This window comes from Homo sapiens, chromosome 14, assembly GCF_000001405.40.
Source record: "Homo sapiens chromosome 14, GRCh38.p14 Primary Assembly".
Lineage (NCBI taxonomy): Eukaryota > Metazoa > Chordata > Mammalia > Primates > Hominidae > Homo > Homo sapiens.
The window spans coordinates 75,495,048-75,520,659 of record NC_000014.9 but is presented as its reverse complement, the minus strand read 5'-3'; the positions used below and the strand labels follow the sequence as shown (position 1 = coordinate 75,520,659).

The 25,612-nt window shown below is 41.3% G+C and overlaps 1 long non-coding RNA gene across 1 annotated transcript, besides 3 other annotated features; it reads right to left on the bottom strand.

The window, feature by feature from the left end:
* Positions 1-885: 885 nt before the first annotated feature.
* On the bottom strand, positions 886-4,814 carry LOC105370572 (uncharacterized). The gene is made up of 3 exons (XR_944037.3): positions 4,675-4,814; positions 4,007-4,117; positions 886-3,269 (listed from the first exon to the last, which is right to left on the bottom strand). It is a non-coding gene; the product is annotated as an uncharacterized LOC105370572 (long non-coding RNA).
* Positions 3,318-3,387: an enhancer, noted in NCBI's record as "active region_8751". NCBI's record gives its function as "activates an Ori minimal core promoter by ATAC-STARR-seq in GM12878 lymphoblastoid cells {active_cell/tissue: GM12878}" and the evidence as "EXISTENCE:reporter gene assay evidence [ECO:0000049][PMID:35858748]".
* Positions 5,473-6,038: an enhancer, noted in NCBI's record as "H3K4me1 hESC enhancer chr14:75980965-75981530 (GRCh37/hg19 assembly coordinates)". NCBI's record gives its function as "activates a minimal SCP1, AML or CMV promoter by ChIP-STARR-seq in naive H9 embryonic stem cells {active_cell/tissue: H9 hESC(naive)}" and the evidence as "EXISTENCE:reporter gene assay evidence [ECO:0000049][PMID:30033119]".
* Positions 23,470-23,529: an enhancer, noted in NCBI's record as "active region_8750". NCBI's record gives its function as "activates an Ori minimal core promoter by ATAC-STARR-seq in GM12878 lymphoblastoid cells {active_cell/tissue: GM12878}" and the evidence as "EXISTENCE:reporter gene assay evidence [ECO:0000049][PMID:35858748]".

The following is a 25,612-nucleotide window of genomic DNA, read 5'->3' as shown; positions in this document are numbered from 1 at the left end:
TATCAGTGTTCGCTGCCCAAAAAACTACCAGAAACTTCGATGACTCAAGCCATTTATTTGGCTCATGAGTCTGTGGGTCATCTGAAAGGTTCTTTGGGGATAGGCTGGGCTAGGCTGATCTCGGCTAGGCTCGGTCATGTGTCCTCAGACAGCTGGTAGGTTGGCTGATAATTGACTGGTCTGGCCTGGCTTTGCCTTGGGCATTTCTCCTCCACATGGTCTCTCATCCACCAACAGGCTGGTCGGAGCATGTTTATTTGATAGTGGCAGGATTCCAAGAGTAGGAGCAGAAGCATTCGAAGCCCCATGGAACCCAGGCTCAGAGCTAGCACAGAACTCAGAACCTGCCACATTCTATTGGCCGAGGAGAGTCACAAGGCCAGTTCAGACTCAATGAGTTGAGAAACAGACTTCACTTCTCGATAGGAAAAATTTAACTAATTGTGGCAATTTCTACAATCTCCTACAGATGAGAAGCCATTGGAGGTGTCAGAGCAGAGGAGTGACATGATCTGACTTAGGTTTTTAGAGGATCTCTCTGGACACAGTTGAGATTTTACGATAGGGGAGCAAAGTGGAAGCAGGGAGATGAGTCAGGATTTCAGTATTGGATTACTGCAACCATCCAAACAAAAGATGCTGGCAGCATAGGCCAGTTAGACAGTGATGAAAGTGGTGAGAAGTGGGCCCTGTAAAAACCAAAGTCTGTGTTTCTCTTGTTTATAGTCATATGCTCAGTACCTAACAGATGCCGAGTAAATGGTTTTCAAACGAATGAATGCATAAGTGAATTCACTTTGCTCTTCATTTATGGCACTTATGACCTGCATTATCCTAGTGTATTGAAAGCCCTTTCAGGACAATAATAGTCATATTTATGTTTCATTCGGTTTAAATTAACATTTATTTATCACCTATTACAGAGCAGAATTCTTAAATATGAATAAGACAGAGACTCTGCTCTCACAGAAAAAAGAAAACATAGTCAAATAACCAAACAGGTTATTATAAATGTTACAAGCGTTCTAAGTATTACAGCGTATGGATGAAGTTCTTAGCTCTTTGAACATCCTATCATTCAACAAGTAAACACTTGTTGAATGAATGATTGCTTGATTCTGTCATTCCCAATCAATGTACTGATTTAATATTTAACAGAGACTAATGAGAGAAATGCAAAATTAGTTTTTACATAAAAAGACGGGTCTTATTTAATAGTATTAATTATACATTATTTTTAAATATTTAAGATTAAAAAATAATAAACACTTATGTAGCCACCATTAAGCTGAAGAAATAAATTATGAATAGAGCCGAAGCTTCCTTCATCCCTTTCTAATTCCGCTTCCTCCCCACCCCAGGTAACCCATTATCCAGATGTGGGGTTTATCATTCTTATGCATTTTTCTATACTTGAACCAAACCTGTATGTATGCCTAAGCAATATATAATATTGTCCTGCAGGATTTTAAACTTTTTACCTTGCTAATATTTTTTATTTGATTTTCAGCATTGTATCTGAATGGTAATGGCAAGGTTTGGGATATACACATCCCACTGATGTTATCCTGGAGAACTCCAGGAAGCTACCAAGTAACAGTTATAATAAAACTGGCATGCGCTCAGTGAACATCAGCCTAAAGCCTAAAGATAGTATTAAGGTAGTGGTTGCTGGATACTACAAACCCTTATGCTGACAGCTGGCTGATATAGGGCCTGGTACAAACTAGAAAACAGCGCCACCTCTAGGTAGGCAACCTCATACCAAAGCGTATGGCCTGGCAAGCCCTCACTTGACCTCTCAGGTTGGAGCCCTTGAACAGTGAACAACCTGCACAACTATACCTAGCATCCTTGCCATATGCTACTTACTGTGTACCGGGAATAGTATATGAATTGGCTCCATTTAATTCTCATGACAGTCACAGGAGGTAAGCACCGTTTCCCCACCTCACCCCATTTTATGTATGTGGAATATTGAGGCACAAGGAGATTAGGTAACATTCCCAAGATCATACAGCTAGAAAAGTCACTGGAGCTAGGACTCAAACTCAGGCAATTTGGTTCAATGCTTATAAGCACCATGCTCTACCACATCTCATTTTAATCTTCCCCAGGATTCCACAGAGCAGGTATCATAATTAGATTCTAAAATTTATATGCAATTAAGGCACAGAGAGTTCGATCATTTGCCCAAGGTCACACAGTTAGCAAGTGACAGAGTTGGGAGCAGTCTAACGTATTCAAACAGTAGACAACTGCCAAGATGCTACTCAGCTCCAGGCTGTCATTAGAAGAATGCCAAGAAATAACCATACCTCCAAACCTCCTGCCCTTAGATTACTTTATTAGGCTTGGAACCCTTGTAATTGCTGTAATAATTACTAGGAACTTGGATATAGCTGTTTTACTTGGTATAAACTTTCTGGAAACACGTTCAGGAAAAAATTCAAAAGACCACTCCAGTTTGAAATAATGAAGGGTGGGGGAATGTGGGGCGGGGAGGGTCACATGCATTAAAATGCCTTAATTGCCCTAAATTTTTAAAAGAAATATAGTTGGAATACTTTGGGATAAAAGACTCCTCAAAACACTCTGTGCATTTATGGCATTTTAAGAATAAAGGTAGGCTGGGTGCAGTGGCTCATGCCTGTAATCCCAGCACTTTGGGAGGCCAAGGCAGGCAGATCACTTGAGGTCAGGAGTTTGAGACCAGCCTGGCCAACATGGTGAAACCCTGTCTCTACTAAATATACAAAATAATTAGCTGGACATGGTGGCGCACTCCTGTAGTCCCAGCTACCCGGGAAGCTGAGGCATGAGAATTGCTTGAACCAGGGAGGCGCAGATTGCAATGAGCGGAGATTGCCCCACTGCACTCCAGCCTGGGTGACACAGCAAGACTCTGTCTCCAAGAAAAAAAAAAAAAAAGAGTAAATGTAGAGCCTCCTGTTTCAGCTATCTATTGCTACACAATGAGTTACCCTAAACAACTTTAAACAATAAGCATCTATTATCTCACACAGTTTTTGAGAGGCAGGAATCTAGGAACACCTTGGCTGAGTGGTTCTGGCTCAGGATCTCTCATGAGGCTGCAGCCAAGTTATCAGCTGAGGCTCTGGTCATCTGAAGACTTGATTGGGACTGGAAGATTCATTTACAAGATGGCTCCCTCATATGGATGTTGGCAAGACATCTCAGTTCCTCCTCACATGAGTCTCCCCACGGGGCTGCCTGAGTGTCCTCCCCATGACATGGCAACTGGCTCCCTGGAGAGTGAACAACAAGAGAGAGAAATAAAGAAAGAGAGAGAGACAGAGAGAGAGAGAGAGAGAGAGAGAGAGAGAGAGAGGAGTTGCAGTGTCTTTTATGACCTAGTCCTCCATCTTTGTTCTACTCTTGGGGCCGGGTGGCATGGCTCATGCCTGTAATTCTAGCACTGTGGGAGGCCGAGGCAGGAGGATTGCTTGAGTCCAGGAGTTTGAGACCAGCCTGGGCAACATGGTGAGACCTTGTCTCTACAAAAAATTAGCTGGGCAGAGCTGAGGTGGAAGAATCACTTAAGCCCAGGAGGCGGAGGTTGCAGTGATTTGAGACTGAGCCACTGCACTCCAGCCTGGGCAACAGGCTGACCTAAAAGAAAAAAGTAGAATGGAGCACTGAGTCCAGCCCACACTTGAGGGGAGGCAAATGAGTCTCTACCTCTTAGAGGGAGGAGTATTAAATAAAGAATTTATGGACTTAAAATCACCATATTCCCCAACTGATTTCTGAGGAGACATTTAGCTGGATGTAAGCAATATGATATGAGGTCGAGGGGGAGTTGAGAGGCAGCATTCTGGTCCTAGCTTTGCCCCCAATTGACTCTGAGATTGTAGGAAGGTCTCCTTCCCTCTCTGGGCCACTGTTTCCCCAGGTGTAAATTTGGTGGGAGGGAATGGCAGAGAGGAAGAATGCTAGAGTCCACTTTGTGAATCTCAGTTTGGCAGAAGGAGGAAAACCCTACCTTGTTCTTTCATGGTTCTATTTCCTCTGGTTGAGAGCAACAGACCCTGCAGCCAGCCCGGTCTAGAAGATATCAGCAAGAGACTTCACCTCTCTATGCCTCTTTCCATACCTAGAAAACGGGAGGATATCACACCACCAATATCATAGGGTCGTTATAAGGATCAAATGAGTTAATGTTTGTAAAGTTCTTAGAATAGTCTCTGGTACATGGGCAATACAATATGAGTTTTTAACTTAAAAAAAAAAAACCTTATACTGCTCTAATTAAATATGGCCAGCACAGAGTCCTGCAGCAAGCTGCTTTCATGAGTAGATTGAAATGATGTCTAATTAGGGGTGACACAGCTGACAACCCATGTAGCGTGGGTTCCCACCATTCAGCACAGCCCCTACTCCCTGCCGTGCCAAGCAAATAACCTTTTAGTTGCTGGATCTTGGGGAGGTGGGAAGGGGGTTGGTGCCAAAGGAGGGGAAGGAGGGAGGAAGGAAACTCCAAGGATTTAGGGAAGCAGCTACTTGTCAACCTCTATTTCAGCGTTTTAATACCAGTGCCTATTGGATCATCCTTGTTCAAAATCAGCAGCAGGATATACTGCACATAAATGGGTTCTTAAGGTAATTGAAAACATATTTTTTAAAAGTGCAACAAACCTGCTATATCCTTACCAGTTCAGTCCCCCTGTTCCTTTGCTATTCTCAGTGCCAGGACAAATAGAAACTTCAGTCCAACGCCTGGTGAATCTGCCCACTTCAAAGACTTCGAGATCTAATTGCCTGCTATTTTACAAGAGCAGAGATGCTCTGGCCCAATCGTTAAGGAAACGAGAGCAGAAGAACCACGCAGAGCAGAAGCCTCCTGGGAGTCTGTGGTGTGGCCCCCCTGGCCAGGCTCACTGCAGAACGGAGCACTTCTCCTTCGTGAGAATCATTTCAGAAGTCAGGCTTCCTTCCCTGGAAGGAGATGCAAAATCTCCCAAGGCCAGAAAGAAGATGGGAAATTCTAGCTTGGGACTTAGCCTCAGATATTCCAGTGTAGGTGGCCTGGTGCGGGCCTGAGCGTGGGCGTCTTTTAAAAGCCCCCAACTGGCTCTGACACAGCGATTTGATGGAGGAGAAATCCTGCAGCGATTTCTCCAGTAGGGGGCAGTTTGTGGCCTCAGGGTCCAGCTGGGCTTCTGGGCCAAGAGGAGTAGACACAGCGGGCCCTCTTTCGTCTCCGTTCTTTCTTTCTCACCTGCCTGGGGGCAGAAAGGAGCCGGGCTCCCTTGGCCTCATTAGCACCAACGGACTCCCGCTCTCTGAGGTTAACCAGCCCCGAATCTGTTCTCATCATCCGCCTTGAGCTCGCACTTGATCTTTTTGGGTTAACCCCCCAGTTCAAGTCATCAATGCATGCCAAGCAAGAGCTTGTGAAATGCAGGAAGTGTGAGCCGGTGCCCTCGGCGGCTGCCCGGGGCCGCTGGCGGTCTGGGTCTTTCGGGGCCACAGTGGGTTGCTTTCCCTCTGCAAGGCAGTTTCACTTTCCTAGAGCGCTGGCCCTGCATTCCCCAACAGCCCATCATCTAGTTATTAAAGATGAAACCCAGGGAGAAGAAAGGAGAATCTCCTGAGAGTACATGCAAATGTCCCCAGGCCCCCAGGGGCCCCACGCAGAGGGGGCTTGAGGCTGGGGGTGGGCGGAGGCCTTCGGTCTGTGTCGCCTGCCCCACCAGACCAGAATTCCCAGGTTATCCCCACTCCCCTGATCCACTGATACTAAACTCACTCTTTTTTTAATTTTTTCTGAGTTCCATCTGAGCGCCCCTTTGAGGGCTGACAGTCGCCTTTAAAGGAGTTGGCTGCCACTATTTAGTTATTTGAGCTAAAATAATAAAAATCCCCTAGCCGCTTTAATGTTTTTTTGGTGGAAAAAGCACACATGGTACATCTTCACTGCTCAGAAGATGGCTAAAGGGGATTTTTCTCAAAGTTTCCCAAACAAGTAGGGAAAACATTTACCTGAGGGCGGAGCCCTCCAGTAAGGGGGCCAGAGTGGGTGGCCAGGTGATGAAGGGGAAATCCCGCGGCGGAGTGGCCTACAGTCCAGCCCTCTCAGGCTTTGCAGCCTTGGAGGAAGCCTCTTAGGAGGGGTGTGGCTGCGCTTCATAAGGCCAGCCCCAGAGGGTTAGAACACATTTCCTCAACTGTGGCACTCTTGACATTTGGGGCGGATAATTCTTTGTGGCGGTGGGCCATCCTGTGCATTGTAAGATGTTTAGCAGCTTCTCTGGTCTCCACCCACTAGTTGCTGGTAGAACCCCAAGTTGTGAAAATAAAAAAATGTCTCTAGAATTGCCAGATGTTCTACGGGGAGGAGAAGCTAAATCGCCCCAGGTGAGAGCCACTGGGTTAAAGAACATGCATCCAAAGCTCCTGTTCTCTTGGTCAGTCTGGGCCTGGTGGCTGCCTTATAAACCCCCTTGAAGCTCAGGAAATTTCCGGATAGATGCACTTTGCACCACGCAGCTTCTGGGTCCCCAGGTTGTTGACCTACTTCAACCTGTGGGTATGGCCATGCTGATAGCACATCCAGCCAGCCACTGGCAGCAGCCGGAGTGGGCATCAGAGCTGCTTCCTGCAGGGCCTCCTCTTCCTGCACCTTTCAGACAGTAGGAAAGGGAGTGAGGCCTCTCAAAGGTTGAGAGAGAGGCCACTCCATTTTTCAGTTTCCCATCAGATTAAAAATGAAGATATATCAAAATAAGGTTAACAAAAAATATGGTATGTTTTAAAAGTAATGTACTTATACTACAACCAGAAAATGATGGAATTTATATGAGTATTTAATTCCTGGGTCTCTGGAGGTGGTAGCATCAATAAATGGAAAGTAACTCAAAAGCTGGGTAAATCTCCTCATCTCTCAGGCCCGGCTAAATATCTCAGGCTGGATATACGGCCTCACTGGAGTTAAGTGCTTTGAAAATGTGAGGCCTGAACCAAATGACTTTTCAGCATCCTTCCCTCACTCACTCAACCCTGACAGCATACAGAGAGAGACATGGTCAAGGAGGAAAGCAGGAACACGAAAACGGCCTCTTAGCTTTGGGTTTCAATATGAAATCCAATGTTCTGGCTCTGTCGCTTCATAACTCTGTGATCTTGGACAATCACTTAAAACTCTGTGCCTCAGTTTCCTCATCTATATAATGGTGCCACCTCATACCACTGAATGTATTTAAATTGCTTAGTGCAATGATTAGTGCCTAGTAAGCATACAGTGCCTATTAGCTATTACTGCCGTAATATTTGTTTTATGTAACCCATATAAAACTGGGATTATCCAAGTAGAGTCTCATCCAATAGAAATATTGAAAAAAAGAGAGTAAGACCGGATGGGGTGGTGCACACCTATGATCCCAGCACTTTGTGAGGCTGAGTCAGGAGGATCACTTGAGCTTAGGAGTTCAAGACCACCTCTAAAAACAATTTAAAAAATAGCTGGATGTGGTGGTGCACACCTGTAGTCCCAGTTACTCTGGAGGCTGAGGTGGGGGGATTGCTTGAACCTGGGACATCAAGGCTGCAGTGAGCTGTTATCATGCTGCTGCACTCTCTCTTGTCTGGGCAACAAGAGAGACCCTGTCTCAAAAAAAAAAAAAAAAAAAGAAAAGGGAAAAAGGGAATAACATCACATACCAACTTTCTATAAAAATCCTTTTTCTAGACAGGCACCGTGGCTCATGCCTGTAATCCCAGCACTTGGGGAGGCTGAGGTGGGTGGATCACCTGAGGTCAGGAGTTCAAGCCCAGCCTGGTCAACATGGTGAAACCCCGTCTCTACTAAAAATACAAAAATTAGCCGGGCATGGTGGCGGGTGCCTGTAATTCCAGCTACTAGGAAGGCTGAGGCAGGGGAATCACTTGAACCTGGGAGGCTGAAGTTTCAGTGAGCTGAGACTGCACCATTGTACTCCAGCCTGGACAGCAAGAGCAAAACTCTGTCTCAAAAAAAAAAAAAAAAATCAAAAAATCCTCTTTCTACAGTTTCCCTCGAAAGTCACCCTTCTCATGCCTTCTGTGCCTGTCTACCCCTTCCCTTCTGAGGCTTTCTCTGTTACTGCTCCCAAATCTCACAGCCCTGTTACCTTTATTCCTACTTTGCTGAGCAACTCAAGTCTCTACCTCCCAACCAAGCATTCTCTGTTCTTCAGCTGGACATCTCCAGGCCAGGGTTAGTGTCTCCTACCTTTCCCACACCTGCATCTCCACCCTCTCCTGCTCCACAGGGTAAAGGTTCTATAGCTACAAGGCCCAAACAAAGATGCCTCCTCCAGGGGCAATTTGTTATCTGTTCACCTGTTGCTGGACAATGGCATTGTTTCCAGGTTTTGATTGTTCTGAATAAAGTGACTGAATATTCATGTCAAGTCTTTTGGGGGACATATGCTTTCACTTTTTGGGGGTGTATACCTAGAAGGGACTTCTTACAACCTTGCAATATTTATTTGTTAGTTTGAGTTGCTTTTGTGTAGATTCCTTAGGATTTTCTTAGATGATTATGTTGTTTGTGAATAAAGACTGTTTTACTTTTTCCTTTCCAACCTATCTGCCTCTTTTTTTTGGTGTGTGTGTGACAGGTTCTCACTGTGTTCCCCAGGCACTGGAGCACAGTGGTGGAATCATAGCTCACTGCAGCCTCAAGCTCCCAGGCTCAAGCGATCCTCTTACTTCAGCCTCCAGAGTAGCTAGGACTACAGGTGCCTGCCTCTAGGCCCAGCTAATTTTTAAAATAATGTTTTGTAAATATGTAGTCTCTCTGTGTTGCCCAGGCTGGTCTTGAACTCCTGGCCTCAAGTGACCCTCCCACCTTGGCCTCCCAAAGTGCTGGGATTACAGGTATAAGCTACTGCACCCAGACACATTTGCCTTTTTGTAGAGTTTAATGTTGAATAAAGGTTTTGAGAATACACATCCTTGCCTTGTTCCTGATATTAAGAGATAAGCATTCAGTCTCTTACCACTAAATATAATGTAAGCTATAGGTTTTTTTTGTAGATGCTCTTTTGTCAGGTTAAGGAAATTCCCTTTTATTTCTAATGTGTTGGGACCCTTTATCCTGAATATGTGCTGAATTTTGTCATTTAACAAAATAACAAAGGCCTTTTCTGAGTCTATTGATATAATTTTATAGTTTTTCTCCTTTATTCTATTATTATGATGAATTATAGTAACTGATTTTTGAATGTTAAACCAACCTTGCATTCCTGGAATGCACTCTACTTGTTCATACTTCTTTAGTGTATTTTAAAATTGAGATACAATTCACAAACCATGAAATTTAACTTTTTAAAGTACACAATTCAGTGTACAGAGTTTCACAGAGTTGTGAAACCATTACCACTATCTAATTTTAGAATATTTTTATCACCCTAAAAAAACCCCTCTGTTCCTGTTAGCAATTATTCCCCATTCCTCTCCCCCTCAGCTCTTGGAAAGCAGTAATATACTTTCTGTCTCTGAATTTGCCCATTCTGGCTATTTTACATAAATAGAATAATGTAATATGTGGCCTTTTGTGACTGGCTTCTTTTATTTAACATGATGCTTTTAAGGCTCATCGTGTTGTAGCATGTATCAGTACTCCATTCCTTTCAATGGCCCAATAATATTCCATTGTATAGATATACTACACTGTGTCCAGTCACCAGTTGATGAACATCTGGTTTGTTTCCATATTTTGACTCTTACAAATGAGGCTACTACAAAGTTTGTGTACAAGTTTTTATGTGGATATATGTTTTCAATTCTTTTACATCATACGTCACTCTATGTTTAACTGTTGAGGAACTACCAGACTGTTTTCCACAGCAGTTGCCCTGTTTTACATTCCTACCAGCAATATCTGAGGGTTTCAGTTTCTCCACATTCTCACTAATGCTTGTTATTCATCTTTTTTATTATAATCACCTAGTGGTTGTGAAGTTGTATCTCAGTGTGGTTTTGATTTGCATTTGCCTAATGACTAATGATGTTGAAACTCTTTCCATATCCTTATTGCCTATAATATATATTCAAGTATATATAGAGAAATGTCTATTCAAATCCTTTGCACATTTTAAAAATGGATTTTTTAAAATGTTGAGTTGTAAGAGTTGTTTATATATTCTTGATACTAGATCTTTGTTAGGTATATGATTTGCAAATATTTTCTGTGGTTGTCTTCCACTTTCTTGATAATATCATTTGTAAAGCATTTTAAATTTTGATGAAGCCCAAGTTATCTATTTTTATTCTTTAGTTGCTTATGCTTTTGGTGTCATATCTAAGGAGCCATTGCTTAACCCAAGGTTACAAAGATTTACATCGACTTTCTTCTAAGAGTTTTGTAGTTTTATGCTTTACATTTAAGTCTTTGATCTATTTTGAGTTAATTTTTGTATGGTGTGAGGTAGAGGTCCAAATTCATTCTTTTGCATGTAGATATCCAGTTGTCCCAGCACCATTTATTGAAAAGATTATTCTTTCCTCATTAGTAATTTTGTCACCCTTGTCAAAAATCAATGGATCATAAATGTGAAGGTTTATTTTTGGGCTCTGAAATCTCTCCCATTGATATATGTGTCTCTACCTCTGCTGGTTCCACACTGTCTTGTAGTAAGTTTTAAAATTGGGAAGTATGAGTCCTTTGACTTTGTTCTTCTTTTTCAAAATTGTTTAGGCTACTCAGAACCTTTGAATTTCTATATGAATTGTATAAGATCAGCTTGCCAATTTCTGCCAAAAAGACAGCTGGAAAATGATACAGATTGCATCAACTCTGTAGAGCAATTCAGGAAACATTGCCTTCTTAACAATATTAAGTCTTCCAATCCATGAACAAGGGATATCTTCCCACTATTTTTTAGTCTTCTTTGTTTTGCAATTTCTGATGTATAAGGGTTGCACTTCTTTGGTTAAATTTCATCCTAAGTATTTTATTCTTTTTGATATAAATTGTTTTGATTATAAATAGAATTGTTTTCTCAATTTCATTTTTGTATTATTCATAGCCCGTATACAGAAATAAGTAGTTTTTGTGTATTGCTCTTATATCTTTCAACCTAGTTGAACTTGTTATTAGCTCTAATAGATATATATTGAATCTAATAATATGTAAAAATATATTTTTTAGGGGGGATGGATTTCTTAGGGTTTTCTATATACAAGATTATCTCATCTGTAAATAGGGATAGTTTTACTTTTTTCTTTCCAACATGGATGCCTTTTCTCTCTTTTTCTTGCCTAATTATCCTGGCTGGGACTTCTAGCACAATGTTAAATAGAAGTGGTGTATGAGAGGATATCCTTGTCTTGTTCTTGGTCTTACTGGGAAAGATTTTGATCAGTCTTTCACTAATAAGCACAATGCTAGTTGTGGGTTTTTCATAGATGTTCTTTGTTAAGAAAGTTCCCTTCTACTCATAGTTTTTCAAGTGGTTTTTAATAAAAAGCAGTTAGATTTTGTCAAATGCCTTCCTGTGTATATTGAAATAATTCTGTCATTTTTGTCCTTTATTGTATTAATATAGTAATATTGATATGTAAATATCAATATGTAAATTGATATGTAAATACCAATATTTACATTGATTTTTATATGTTGAATCGATCTTATTTTCTGAGCTAAGTCCCACTTGATCATGATGTATGTTCCTTTTTATATGTTGTTGGATTCAATTTACTAGTAATTTGTCCAGAATTTTGCATCTATATGCATAAGAGACATTGGCCTTTAGTACTCTTGTGTTATTTTCTAGCTTTGGTATCAGAGTAATACTGGCTGCATAGAACACATTGAAAAGTGTTCCCTCCACTTCTACTTTGTGAAAGAGTTTGAGAAGGAGTGGTGTTAATTCTTCTTTAAACATTTGATAAACTTCACTAGTGAAGCTATTTGGTTCCAGGTTTTCCCTTTTGACAATTTTTTGATTACTAATTCAGTCTCTTTATTTATTTTCAGTCTATTCAGATTTTTCTATTTCTTCTTGATTAAGTTTTGGTAGCTGTGTCTTTCTAGGAATTTGTCTATCTTATCTAGATTATCCACTTTATTTGCATACAACTTTTCATAGTATTCACTTACAATTCCTTTTATTTTTGTAAGGTCAACAGTAATTTTCCTTCTCTTATTTTTTATTTTAGTAATTCAAGTCTTATTTCTCCCTCTCATCAGACTAGCTAAAGGTTTTTCATACTTGTTAATTTTTTCAAAGACCAACTTTTTATTTCATTTTTTTCTATTACATTTATATTCTCTATTTCACTTTCTTCTGCTCTTATCTTTATTGTTCCATTCTTTCTGCTTCCCTTGGGTTAGTTTGATCTTTTTCTAGTTTCTTAAGGTGGAAGATCAGGTTATTGATTTGAGATTTTTCTTCTTTTCTAACATATTTGTATGCAGTGATTAATTTCCCTCTGAGCCATTCTTTAGCTTCACCCCATAAGTTTTGGTATGTTGTGTTTTGTTTTCATTAATTTCAAAGTATTTTCTAATTTCCATTGTGATTTTTTTCTTTGACCTATTGGTTCTTTAGGAGTGGTTTTAAAATATCCCTATCCTTTTGAATTTCCCACATATTTTCTCCTATTGATTTCTAATTTTATTCCACTGTGATTGGAGAACATACTTTGTATGATTTCAGCCCTTATAACTTTATTGAGACTATCATATGGTCTCTTCTGGAAAATATTTCATGATGCACTTGAGAAGAATGTGTGTTTTGCTGTTGTTGAGTGGAATATTCTATTAATGTCTGATTTAGGTTCAAGTTTTTTATTTCCTTGTTGATCTTCTGTCATTCCATCTATTAATGAAAGTGGGGTATTAGAGTCTTCAACTATTATTATTATTATTATTATTTTGAGACAGAGTTTCACTCTTTCACCCAGGCTGGAGTGAAGTGGTGCGATCTCAGCTCACTGCAACTTCTGTCCCCCAGGTTCAAGGGATTCTCTTGCCTCAGCCTCCTGAGTAGCTGCGATTACAGGCGCCTGCCACCAGGCCCGGCTAGTTTTTTATATTTTTAGTAGGCATGGGGTTTTGCCATGTTGGCCAGGCTGATCTCGAGCTCCTGACCTCAGGAGCTTTCCACTTCAGCTTTCCAAAGTGCTAGGATTACAGGCATGAGCCACTGCACCCGGCCTCAACTATTATTCTTGTATCGTCTATTTCTCTCTTTAATTCTGTGAGTTTTTGCTTCATTTATTTTAAGGACTATATTGTTAGCTGCATATATATATTCATAATTGTTAAGTTTTCTTAATGGATTGACCCTTTTATTATTGTCAAGTGTCCTTCTTTGCTGTAGTAACATTTGTTGATTTTTGTCTGATATTAACATAGCTACTTCAGCTTTCTTTTAAATACTGTATTCATCGTTTATGTTTTTTTCCATCCTTTTACATACAACCTATTTATGTCTTTGAATCTAAAATATGTTTCTTATAAACAGCATTTGGTTGGATTTTTTTTTATCCATTCTGCCAGTCTCTGTTTTTTGATTGGAGTATTTAACCTATTTATATTTAATGTAATTACTGATAGGGTAAGATTTATATCAGCCATTTTGCCAGTTGTTTTCTACATGTCTTATGTCTTTTTTGTGCCTCTATTCCTCCATTACTGCCTGCTTTTGTGTCTCATGGATATTTTCTAGTGTACTATTTTAACTAACTTGCCATTTCTTTTATCACATTTTTTGAGTTGTTTTTTTTTAATGGTTGCCCTGGGGATTACAATTAACAGCTTAGAATAATATAGTTCAGGTGAATACAAACTTTAATTTTAAGTTTGTAGATTATTAATTTTAATAATTACAAAACTTTACTTCTTTATAACTCCATTTTCCTCCTCTTCACTTGTGCTAATATTATCATAAAATTACTTCTTTATTTACTATATGTCCATCAACACATATTTATAGTTATTACTTTTTGCAGTTATCTTTTAAGTCAGATTGGAAATAAAAATTGTTATAAACAAAATATACATTTACATTTTCTTGTATATTTACCCATGTAGTTAACTTTACTGGCGCTCCTCATTTCTTCTTGTGGATTCAAGTTACTGTCTAGTGTCCTTTCATTTCAGCCTGAAGGACTCTCTTTAGTGTCTCTTACAAGGCAGATCTAGTAATGATTTCTCTCAGCTTTTGTTTATCTGGGAATGCCTTAATTTTGCCTTCATTTTTAAATTATTTTAAAAATAAAAGTATAATTCATATACTGTATAATTCACCCATTTAAAGTGTACAATATAATGGCCTTGAGTGTATTCATAGAGTTACGCATTCATCACAACAATCAATTTTAAAACGTTTTCATTGCTCCAAAAATAAACCCTGCACCCCTTAGCCATCCCCCCCCCAAAATCTCATCTATCCATTCGCTCAAGCCCTAGGCAACCACTAATCTACTTTCTGTCTCTATAGATTTTTCTATTTATGGATTTAATTGACTGTGTAAAAGAACCATCTTTTGATTTTATTGATTATCTTTGCTCTGTTGGTTTTCTCTGTACCTTTTTTCTACTGAGTACAGTCGTAGTTTATTCTTTCCGATTCCTGTTGATATTCCAGTGAATGAATGTACCATAATTTATTTGTTTATTCAATTATTGAATAAATTTTGGGTTTTTAGGCACATCTTTGATATGTTCCTAGCACTTCAATCCTATTCTTTATGTATTTTTATCTTTTCCCTTTCACAATGGAATACCCAGAAAACTGACTTACATCCAATGAGTAAAGACTTACTGCTCTCAGCATATGCAATCAATTCCATTTTTTTGTCTCAGTTGCTAGGAGATTGAAAGATCTACATTTCATATCATTAATGTTAGCACTTTCACTTTTCTAGTTTTTACTATTTTAAGAAAAAAGCAATATGAAATAAAATATTAGATAATTACACAAAAAGGCTGCTATATAAAGAGGCAAGCCTCCTGACATTGAATTGTTGACTGGCTGAGAGAACCACCAAATATCCCGCTCTTTTCCAATTCTCATTGAAAGGACAGCAAAAAACTGCAGTAAGGACTTGACTCAGGATAAAACTGATCAGGGAAATAAGGGGCATCAGCAGACTAGAGATTCCGATGTATTTCTAGAAGACTAAAAAAATGTTGGAAACGTGTATTATTTTATTTTATTTTTATTTTTTGAGACAAGGTCTTGCTCTGTTGCCCAGGCTGGAGTGCAGTGGTGTGATCACAACTCAGCTCTGCGTGTTCCTCCTACCTCAGCCTCCCGAGTAGCTGGAACTGCAGGAGCACATCACCACACCTGGCTAATTTTTTAAAAAACTTTTTGTAGAGATGGGGTTTCACCACGTTGCCCAGGCTGGTCTCGAACTCATGGACTCGAGAGATCCACCCATCTTAGCCTCCCAAAGTGCTGGGATTACAGGCATGAGCCACTGTGCCTGGCTGAAATGTGCCTTCTTTAGTCGATCAGTAAAAATCCAGTTTAGCACATGAAAGGAGACTGACTAGAGAGAGAGAAAGACAGTAGTACAATAGAAAACTATACAGCCACTAAAAATGATGTTGCAAAAGAATGATAAAATAATAATGTACAATGATGTTCACGATATATTAAATTATTATAAATATATTGATATACAATATATAATAACTAAATAATAATATAAATAAATTTAAAGGCAAGTTAAAAAGCAATGTATTTAGCATGTTCGTATTCTTATTAAGAAAACACCTATGTATTTAATTGGCAGATTATGCATCAAAATGGTAACAATGACACAAACAATGTACATGTTTTCTCTAGCAAACAAGTTTCTATGGTTTGAATGCGTCCCCCAGAATTCATGTTTTGGAAACTTAATTCCCAATCCAACAGTACTGGGGCCAGTAAGTGGGGCCTAATGGGAGGTGTTTAGGTCATGAGGGCTCTGCCCTCACAAATAGATTAATGTTATCATAAAAAGGGTTTGAGAGCATAAGTTTGCTCTCTTGTACTTTTGCCCTTTCACCTTCTGCTATGTGATGGCACAGGAAGAAAGTTATGGCAAGATGCCAGCACCTTGATCTTGGACTTCCCAGCCTCCAGAACTATATACTAGTAAATTTCTGTTCATTATTAACTAGCCAGTATCAGGTATTCTGTTATAACAGCACAAAGTGGACCAAGACATATATAATGTAATAATAGAAATGACCATAAATTGTTATATACCTACCGGAGACCAGATTTTAGAATATCTCCAAGCAATTTTAAGAATGTGGCTGTTAGAGGGGAATGGCAGTAGTATGGACAGATTGGGGTTTATATAGCTCAATAAAATTGATAGACTTTTGCAAGATTAAGCATCTTTTTCTCCATCAGCCTCATGTGTACATATGTCAAATTTTCCAATTCATGTCATAAGAAAGTCTTTAATCAACCTGGTTCCTCAGCAAATAGAACATGATTTGTCTTAACTCCATATGGTTTCCATGTTTGGACATACATGTTCCTACATTGCCCATTCTCCCCTTTGTGGCCTTTCCAACGTTCCTTTAATCTAGTCTCCCCATGGTAGACATAAACATCCTTGGGAATCTTAATGACAACATAAAGGGCCAGTTCCATGGAGCCTTACTAACTGCCACTCAGGAATGAAAGGATGAGATTTCCCTGTGAGCCGCCATCCTTTTGAACATAGAATTCATGTAAATGAAATATATCTGAGCAATGTATTTCTAAACGAATCTTGTGGTACTGATTTACGGGGCATTTTGTTTTTATTGCCACCCTGGAAGTAGGCAGGATAAAGCATATAACAGCCTCTCTATGCACACTACTATCCTCAAGGATATATCTGGAAGGATACAAGATTATTATTCCTCTCTCATTCTACTGGTAGGGATAGCTTTTTTGGATCCACGTAGATACATGGTAGGATTAAGAAGTTAAGGACTGGCTGGGCATGGTGGCTCATGCCTGTAATCCCAGCACTTTGGGAGGCAAAGGCGGGTGGATTGCTTGAGCTCAGGAGTTTGAGACCAGCCTGGGCAATATGGCAAAACCCTATCTCTCCAAAAAGAAAGAAAAGAAAACACAAGAAAAGAAAAGAAAAGAAAAGAAAAGAAAAGAAAAAAAAGTTAGCTGGGAGTGGTGGTGTGCACCAGTAGTCCCAGCTACTCTGGAGGCTGAAGTGGGAGGATCACTCAAGCCTGGGAGGCAGAAGTTGCAGTGTGCTGAGATCCTGCCACTGCACAATAGAGACTCTGTCTGAAAAAAAAAAAAAAAAGTTAAGGCCTGAGAAAATAGATGCACCAGTGGGCTTTCTAATTCCATTATTATCTAAAGATTACTCTTAAAACCCCCTCACATCTCTAATCCAAGACAGACTACTAAGCTCGTGTGCTTCACGTGCCATTGAGATGACAGAGAAGACATGCAGAGAGAAACAGATTCATAACAAAGCTTAATAATGGGAGGGAGAAATGTGAGCAGGTCAGGAGACAGCCTGAATAATTTCTGGGTAAGAGAAAATGAAAGAACCATCGTGAGAGAGAAACCATGGTGGAAAGAGCCTTGGCTAAAACTAGTAACGTGCAAGTGCCAAGACTGGAGTAGAAAACGGAGCAGAAATGAAGGTGGGCATCAGGGTACTGCCTCAAGTTGCACCATCCAACATGATAGCCACTAGCTACATGTGGGTATTGAGCCCTTGAATGTGGCCAATTAGTTCTATTAGAAGCAGAACTAATCAATTTTATTTTTATTTATTTATTTATTTACTGAGCCAGAGTCTCGCTCTATCACCCAGGCTGGAGTGTAGTGGTGAGATCTCGACTCACTGCAACCTCCGCCTCCCGGTTCAAGCGATTCTTCTGCCTCAGCCTCCAAAATGGCTGGGATTATAGGTGCCTGCCACCAGGCCCGGCTAATTTTTATATATTTATTAGAGACAGGGTTTCACCATGTTGGCCAGGCTGGTCTTGAATTCCTGACCTCAAGTGACCCACCCGCCTCAGCCTCCCAAAGTGCTGGGATTACGGGTGTGAGCCACTGCGCCTGGCCAGAACGAATTAATTTCAGATGCGCACTGAAGTATTTAAGAGTGATGTGTCATGTTATCTACAAGTTATATATAGATAGTATCTTAGATGATATTATTAAATTATTGTTAAATTCCTTAGGTGTGATAATGACATTGTGGTTATGTCCTTGTCTTTAGGAGATGTACACTGAAGTACTTAAGACTGATAGGTCATGTTCTCTACAAGTTATTTTCTAATGGCTTACAAAGAAATATGTAAGAGTGTGTGTGTGTGTGTGTGTGTGTGTGTGTGTGTGTGTTTGTGTTTAAAACTGGTGAACCTATTACAGAATGGAGGCTCACTGTTCTAGTATAGCAACTTTTTGATTGATTTGCTTTTTTCCCCAAAAATTTTTAAAAATGGGTGATAAAATGCTACATGATCATAGTAGGAAAAGTTTATGTTATTTTGTCACCAAGATGAAACAAAGGTGACTCCAGTAAAAATCTATATAGAAAGTTGTAATTTGAAAAAGAAGCAAACCAAAATGTAATACAATTTTATGCAATTGGTAGATTGTAACAATAAAAAAAATCCATTTGACATTTGATCTTGCAACAGTTCCCTTTAGGCGGCTCAGTTTGAATAGCATAGGATTACATTTGCTTGTCTGCAGGTCAAACCTCACTATTTAGATTGTCACTAAAGAATACACAATAAAATTATTGTAATTACTGTCTTCTGTTTTCAATTCTTAGGAACAATCTTTGAATAAAGCATGGAAGACTAAGTTATAGTAAAGTAATATAATAAAGTCATGGTAGAATAAAAAATGACAATGTTATTTATAGTGGTGTTTCTTCCGGTTTTAATTTTATTATTATATTTTCTTGTTTGTATGTTTGAAATATTTCACAGTAAAAAAAATTAAAAGTAATTGTTTATTAGCTGACCATAATCAGAAATAGAAATAGGAGATACAGAGAAGGTATTTATAAGTTCCCCAGAGAACAGACTCTGAGACTCTAAGACTTGGGTATAGGGAGGTTGTTGGAGAGTGTTCTCAGAAACATCACCTGTGAGAGTTGAGGGAGCCAAGACCAGGCAGGGGAGGAGTGAGTAGATACAAGGCCCCAGTCAATGCTGCAAGAAGTTTGGGAGGAGGCAGATGGCTCTTCAAAGTTGCTCCATTGAGGCCAATAGGCTGGCTACACCATTATAACACATAACCCATACTGACCAGTCACTGGATATGGGCTGCCCTCTGGGAGGTGGCATAATCTCTCACATAATCTCCAGGTAACTCCCTTCAGCCAAAAGCAATTCTTGGAGAGGGACTCAGCTGAGACCTCTTAGCTGCCAGCACTCCCCAAAGTTGGGGAATCAAGGCCTTGGTCCTGAAAGGGATCTGGGCAGCACGCCACACCACAGTGTCCATTACAAGGCAGAAGGAAGTCTGCCTTGTGTATTTTCCTGAACTTACACTTTGTAAGTTAGACATACTGTAAAAGGTGACGGGCCAAGAAATTGAGATGTAAGTATATTATTTAAAGTTATAAAGATTCCGATAGACTTAATATAAAAATAAAAATTGGGAGGGAGAACATGCGGTGAAATATAACTGAGTTAAATTCCTCAATATTCAAAGTATAAAGGAGTTTTCAAACAATCTTTAAAGTAGATAAACTAAGAGAGAGAAGTATAAACATATTTTAGAATTCTGCCTATAACCACAGGAGGACAAAACCTAGATCTGATTTTAAATGTTTACGTCTAAAGAGTCAGTCTAGGGGTAGGCCGGGAGATGTGGAAAACTTATGTTTTCTTTATCCTTTTGTAACTGTTTGAAATTTTATTACCACACACATGAACCATTTTTATAGTAGTTAAGAACAATAGCAACAACAACAAAAAAATCTCCCCCTTAGGAGCTGCTTGGAAAAACTTTCTCCTTTTATCTCCTTCCAACAGATAAACTGATTCAATCTGGACTCTCACATCTTATTCCTGATCCGAAAGTGTTGCCCGGAAAGCATAAGATGACCAGGCTTAGATAATACTCTACAGTTTTGTTTTTAATTTTAATTTTTTTTTTTTTGAGACGAAGTCTTGCTCTGTCACCCAGGCTGGAGTGCAGTGGCATGATCACAGCTCACTACGGCCTCTGTCTCCCAGGTTCAAGCGATTCTTCTGCCTCAGCCTCCTGAGTAGCTGGGATTACAGATGCGCACCACCATGCCTGGCCAATTTTTGTATTTTTAGTAGAGATAGGGTTTCACCATGTCAGCCAGGCTGGTCTCAAACTCCTGACCTCAAGTGATCTGCCCACCTCGGGCTCCCAAAGTGCTGGGATTACAGGTGTGAGCCACCATGCCCAGCCTTATTTTTTTTTAATTAAAATTTAAAAACCATTTAAACCTATTTACTTATTTACCATTGTATGCCCTGCAGTTTTGAGTGAACATCCTAAGGCTACCCTTTTGTGAGTTCTCCTTTTGGTTTAGTCCTGGCTTGGTTAGCAGAACCTAAAAGAATAGCCACTTCCAAAAACACGCTGGTAGGAGGTGAGGTTCCAAAGCCCAGTCCTGCCAGCTCCTATGGTGGGAAGAGCGACTGGAGCCTGGGGCCCGGGACTCCTGGCAACCCCAGCTCTACAAATGGCTGTGGGACTCTGAGAAAGCCTCTCCCAGGCTCAGGCGTCATCTGTGGAGTGGGAATAATAAAAGTAGCCACACGCTTTGTTGGGAGAGTTCAATGAGATGATGACTAGAAAGCGCTTAGGCCTGAGCACGTGGTCACCGCTCCTTAAATGTCTGCTGTGTTGGTGTCACTGCCGCTACCTTTTAGTTGTCACCGCTGCTCCTGGATTCCTCTGAAAAAGCTCAGGGAGACGCCATCTTCAAGCCTCATTAGGCATCTCCTTTGTGAAGAGCTCAGCCCCAAGGGCAAAATAAGGTCCCAGTGCTTCCAACAGTCCCTACTCTCAAGCCAGAGACAAAGAGAACAACGTCAGAGTCAATTCTCTAACTACCTTAATGACACTGAGAGCTGAGCCCTGAGCCCCGGGAAAGTTCCTGTGATGTGGTTGGAAAACTCCGTATCCCCTACTCAGCATGATGTCTCCGCCATTTGCTGGCCTGGATGTCCTGGACCCAGACAAAGCTCGACCATTTTCTGCTGTGTATGGTGTTCAGGACAGATGGTCCAGGCAGAAAGTTCAGCTCACTCTACCCAAAAATTTCACAGCAAGACCGCAGCTACGTGAATTCTACATTTTCTGTTGACAGCCCTGAAACCATAAAGTCCAGGTTCCAGTTGACTTAAAAAAAAAAAAAGAAAAGCACACGGTCATGGTGGTGTGCACATCCAGAAATTCAGACTGCGGGTCACCAGGCCCAGGGGCTTCTAGATGTTTAGTCTAAGGCAACAGAGTCTGGGCCTGCTACTGAGGTTTCTTGCTCTGAATCACCCAGCACAGAGGCAACCAGCAGTGGCTTTGACAACCCAAGCCACAGTTACACATCTCGCTGATTCTGAGGAAAGGGATGGTCCTCAAACTCTCTGGGGGCTCCCAACCTCATTTATAGAGCAGTTCTCTTGTATGTACAGTGGGTTGTAGAGCCTATTTCAGAATTTCTATGTCTACTTATTTTTATCCAAAAGTAATAAGAAAGAAATTAAGCTATGATCATATTTAATAATTAGTATAAGAGCAAACATCTATTTTGTAAATAAATATTTGTATACTGTCTTGTAAGCAATTATACATATGGTTTGTTTTTTTTTTTGAGATGGAGTCTCACTCTGTTGTCCAGGCTGGAGTGCAGCAGTGCCATCTCGGCTTACTGCAACCTCTGCCTCCTGGGTACAAGCGATTCTCCTGCCTCAGCTTCCCGAGTAGCTGGGATTACCGATGCGCACCACCATGCCCAGCTAATTTTTGTATTTTTAGTAGAGATGGGGTTTCACTATGTTGGCCAGGCTGGTCTTGAACTCCTGACCTCAAGTGATCTGCCTGCCTCAGCCTCCCAAAGTGCTGGGATAACAGGTGTGAGCCACTGCAGCCAGCCCTGTATTTATATTATATACAGACATGTACAAATATTTTTGCATGCTAAAAAATTTAACAGGGGGTGGGGTGGGCTAAGGCAGTGTGTCCCAGGCCATGGGTCCCTGTGCAAAATAATTTCTAATGAAATTTATAAATTAAAAAAATTCTTTTAATTTAACAGATGGAATGGATAATCCAGGAGGATTGGAGATGGCAGCTCTGCAGGACAAAGCCCCCACTCCCTCATGTGGTCCCTCTTCTTTCTGGTAAGCTTTCCAGCCAGAAGCTGGAGACGTTCCACTCTTCGCTGCTCTGGCCACTGGTCCAGGACCCCCACCATTGTCTTTCTCAGCTCTGCTCGTCTACTCTTTTTTTTTTTTTTTTTTTTTTTTTTTGAGGTGGAGTCTCGCTCTGTCACCGAGGCTGGAGTGCAGTGGCGCGAACTTGGCTCACTGCAAGCTCCACCTCCCGGGTTCACTCTATTCTCCTGCCTCAGCCTCCTGAGTAGCTGGGACTACAGGCACCTGCTACCACGCCCGGCTAATTTTTTGTGTTTTTAGTATAGACGGGGTTTCACTGTGTTAACCAGGATGGTCTCGATCTCCCAACCTCGTGGTCCGCCCACCTCGGCCTCCCAAAGTACTCTTCTATTCTTGCTGCTTCCTCTGGGTTTTCTCCTACCCCTTTGGCCTAGCCAACTCCTAGTTGTTCCTTAGGCCTGCACTCAGTTGCCATCCCCAGTGGGAAACGTTCTCTGATGCACCAGGATGGAGGTTCTTGGGAGCCCTTCACTGCCTGTGCATTCCCTTAGCATGGCGTTTTCATCTCATTGCCGCGCTATCCACAGGTCCATCTCACTCACTAGCTGTAGATAAGATCATCTTAGTCCCTCTGCTCCTCAGTACCCATTACAATGCCTGCAGGTGAAGTTACCAAGGAGGCCTCTTCTCTTCCATTCATGGTGCCAGGAAGACCACTGATTAAAACCCGTTGCAGAAAAGAAGGAGCATCTTCTCCAGACTCCCATTCCTTCCAGAGCATAGGTCAAATTGTGACTGCCAGGCCAAGAGTCTCTCTTCAAGAAAGAGAAGAAAGTTCCCCTTCAACAACACTCCCCCTACACCCCCTCAGGACTGTGGTTCCTCCAGCACGAAGTCTAACCAAGGACTTCCCCTGGTGGCTCTGTCAGAGCCCAGGCTGAGCGAGCTCCTTCTGCAGAAACTCGATAACATCAGAATATGGTGAGGTTCCAGGCAGCAGACCGTCCTTCTGCTGTGACTGGAAAAGAGGCCTTCAAAAGAGCTGAAGGCCTCCTCTGGGCAGGGACCTCCAGAGGCCCAGGGTGGCTGGCTTCTCAGGGTTTCTCATCACTGCAGCTCCCCTGCTTCTGCTCATCTCCCTCCATTTCCGCACAGGCCTTCCCCACGTGTCTGAGGATGGACACCCCCCAGCTCCTCGAGCCAATATTGCCTCAGTCCAAGCCATCAGAGGAGTCTGAGAAGCCCCTCAAAGTCAAAATTCCAAACTGGGAGAGGGACTCTCATGAGTCTACTTTGAGTCAAGAGTCTACTCCTGGGCCCCTCAGTCACTCATTGGGGGTCTTACAAACATGGCTGCCAGAGCCCACTCTTACAGAGGGCGCTGGACAGCTCCCACAGACAGGGGCTGAGGGGACTGTAGTTGAGAGCACGCTCTCAAAAGTGTCATCTGTAGGAAGTAAAGAAGGAAGCAGAAAAATAGAAGCTGAGTTTCTATTCAGGGCCCGATGCTTTGGCAAATGTCTTAAAAATAAGGAGTTTCACTCCCTGGAGAAGAGGGTTAGGGTTTTGTGTCCACCTCATGCCAGGAACTCTGCAATAGGGCAGAAGGTGGGAGACCTACTTACCTTGAAGGAGCTAACAATCCCTTGGGAATGTCACAAAGGAAACTAAAGTGGCATTAGAAAGCCTGGCCCCTCCTTCGAGCCCACCCACACCCCATCCCTCAAGGCCTAGATCACGTTCCTCCTCCTCCTCCTCTGTGAAGCCTTTTCTCACCACTCCAGCTTTGGTGTTGAGAGGGACATGATGTGGTGTGGCAGAGAGAACCAGGGACTGAGAATCCATCACTAGGGACCTGGTTCTGGCTTTGCCACTAACTAGCTGTGTGACCCTGAAGATGCCGTTGGTCCAGCCTCAGTGGCCTCATCTGTAGGCTGAGGATGCTTGATCTACTCTAGGGAAGCCTTTAGGGAGGCTTAAAACTTTAAGAGTCTATGAAAAATGTTATCTCCAACTCCTTAGAACTTCTTCAGAATGAAAAGTCGGGGCAACATGATTCCTTTCCTAATTTCCAATGGTCTTATCGTGGTTCAAAGTGAAAATGCAACACGGCAGATTGGTTAGGAGCATGGGCTCTCAAAAGGTGACTTATCCATGCTCTGCAGTATCTTCTCATTGGCAGAATGTTCTAGAGTGGACTGTCTGGCTGCTTCCTGTGGTATTATAAGCTTTGCAAAAGCAGAAGACCTCCCACCTCCCGTGGTTTTGCACATTTGGAAGCTTGCCAGCTCTGGACAACCCAAATGACATCTATGTTTTCCTACCTACATTTGGGATCTTGACCGGCATTCTGGAACAAATTCTACCACTCCGGAAAATTTAAGCTTTCAGCTTCTTTTGCTGTTACCCATATGGTTGCCAAACTTGAAATTATGGTGTTGGCTAAATTCCCATCAATAATATCAGGTGACCCCTAGGGTTGTTGTGGGACTGGAAGTCGGCCAATTTCTATTACCTTAATGTATGAAGAGAAATGAACAGAGGTCCTAAGTGTTTTCAAATAGCTTGATAATTTATAGAAGAAGAAAAGAGAAAGAAGAAGAGGTAGAGGAAGAGGAGGAAGAGGGAGGGGAAAAAAGAAAAAGGAGAAGGGGAAAAGGGTGAGGGGAGGAGGTAATGAGGAAGAAAATGGCACTGAAATTTGACACAAAGAAAATAAACTAATTTTGAAACTCTCGGAACTACAACCTCACGCAGTTGGGTCTTTGTATAAGGATGATGTTGCTACTTTCTGTAGACAAAATCTCAAGGTGTCAAATGTCAAATGTCAGCAGTTGGAAGGACCTTGAAACTCAGAAACTCTATGAAAGGATATCCTTTCACATTGAGATTTTAGCTATCTCTTATGTTCATCTACGCAGAGACTTCATTTAAAATTCTGTTAAATGAAATCAACAGTTTTATGATACTTCCCTCCTCCAAAAAGGATGGGGGAAGCTAGAATCAGACGACTGAATTGAATCACAGCTCCACCCCTTGCAAACCATGTGCCTTTAGGCAAATTATTTAATCTTTCCGCATCTTAATTTTCTCACCTGAAAAATGAAGATATTACCAGTATATGTATCATGGAGCTGTTTGGAGGATTCCATGAATTTACAGCTTGGGTGCACTTGGTTAATGGCAGCCTCTGCCATCATTAATATGGCCATATCCTGTGATTCAGAATGTGACTCAGAGGCAAAGAGGTCTCACATCATGTGACAAGTCTTTGGGGCAAATGTCCGG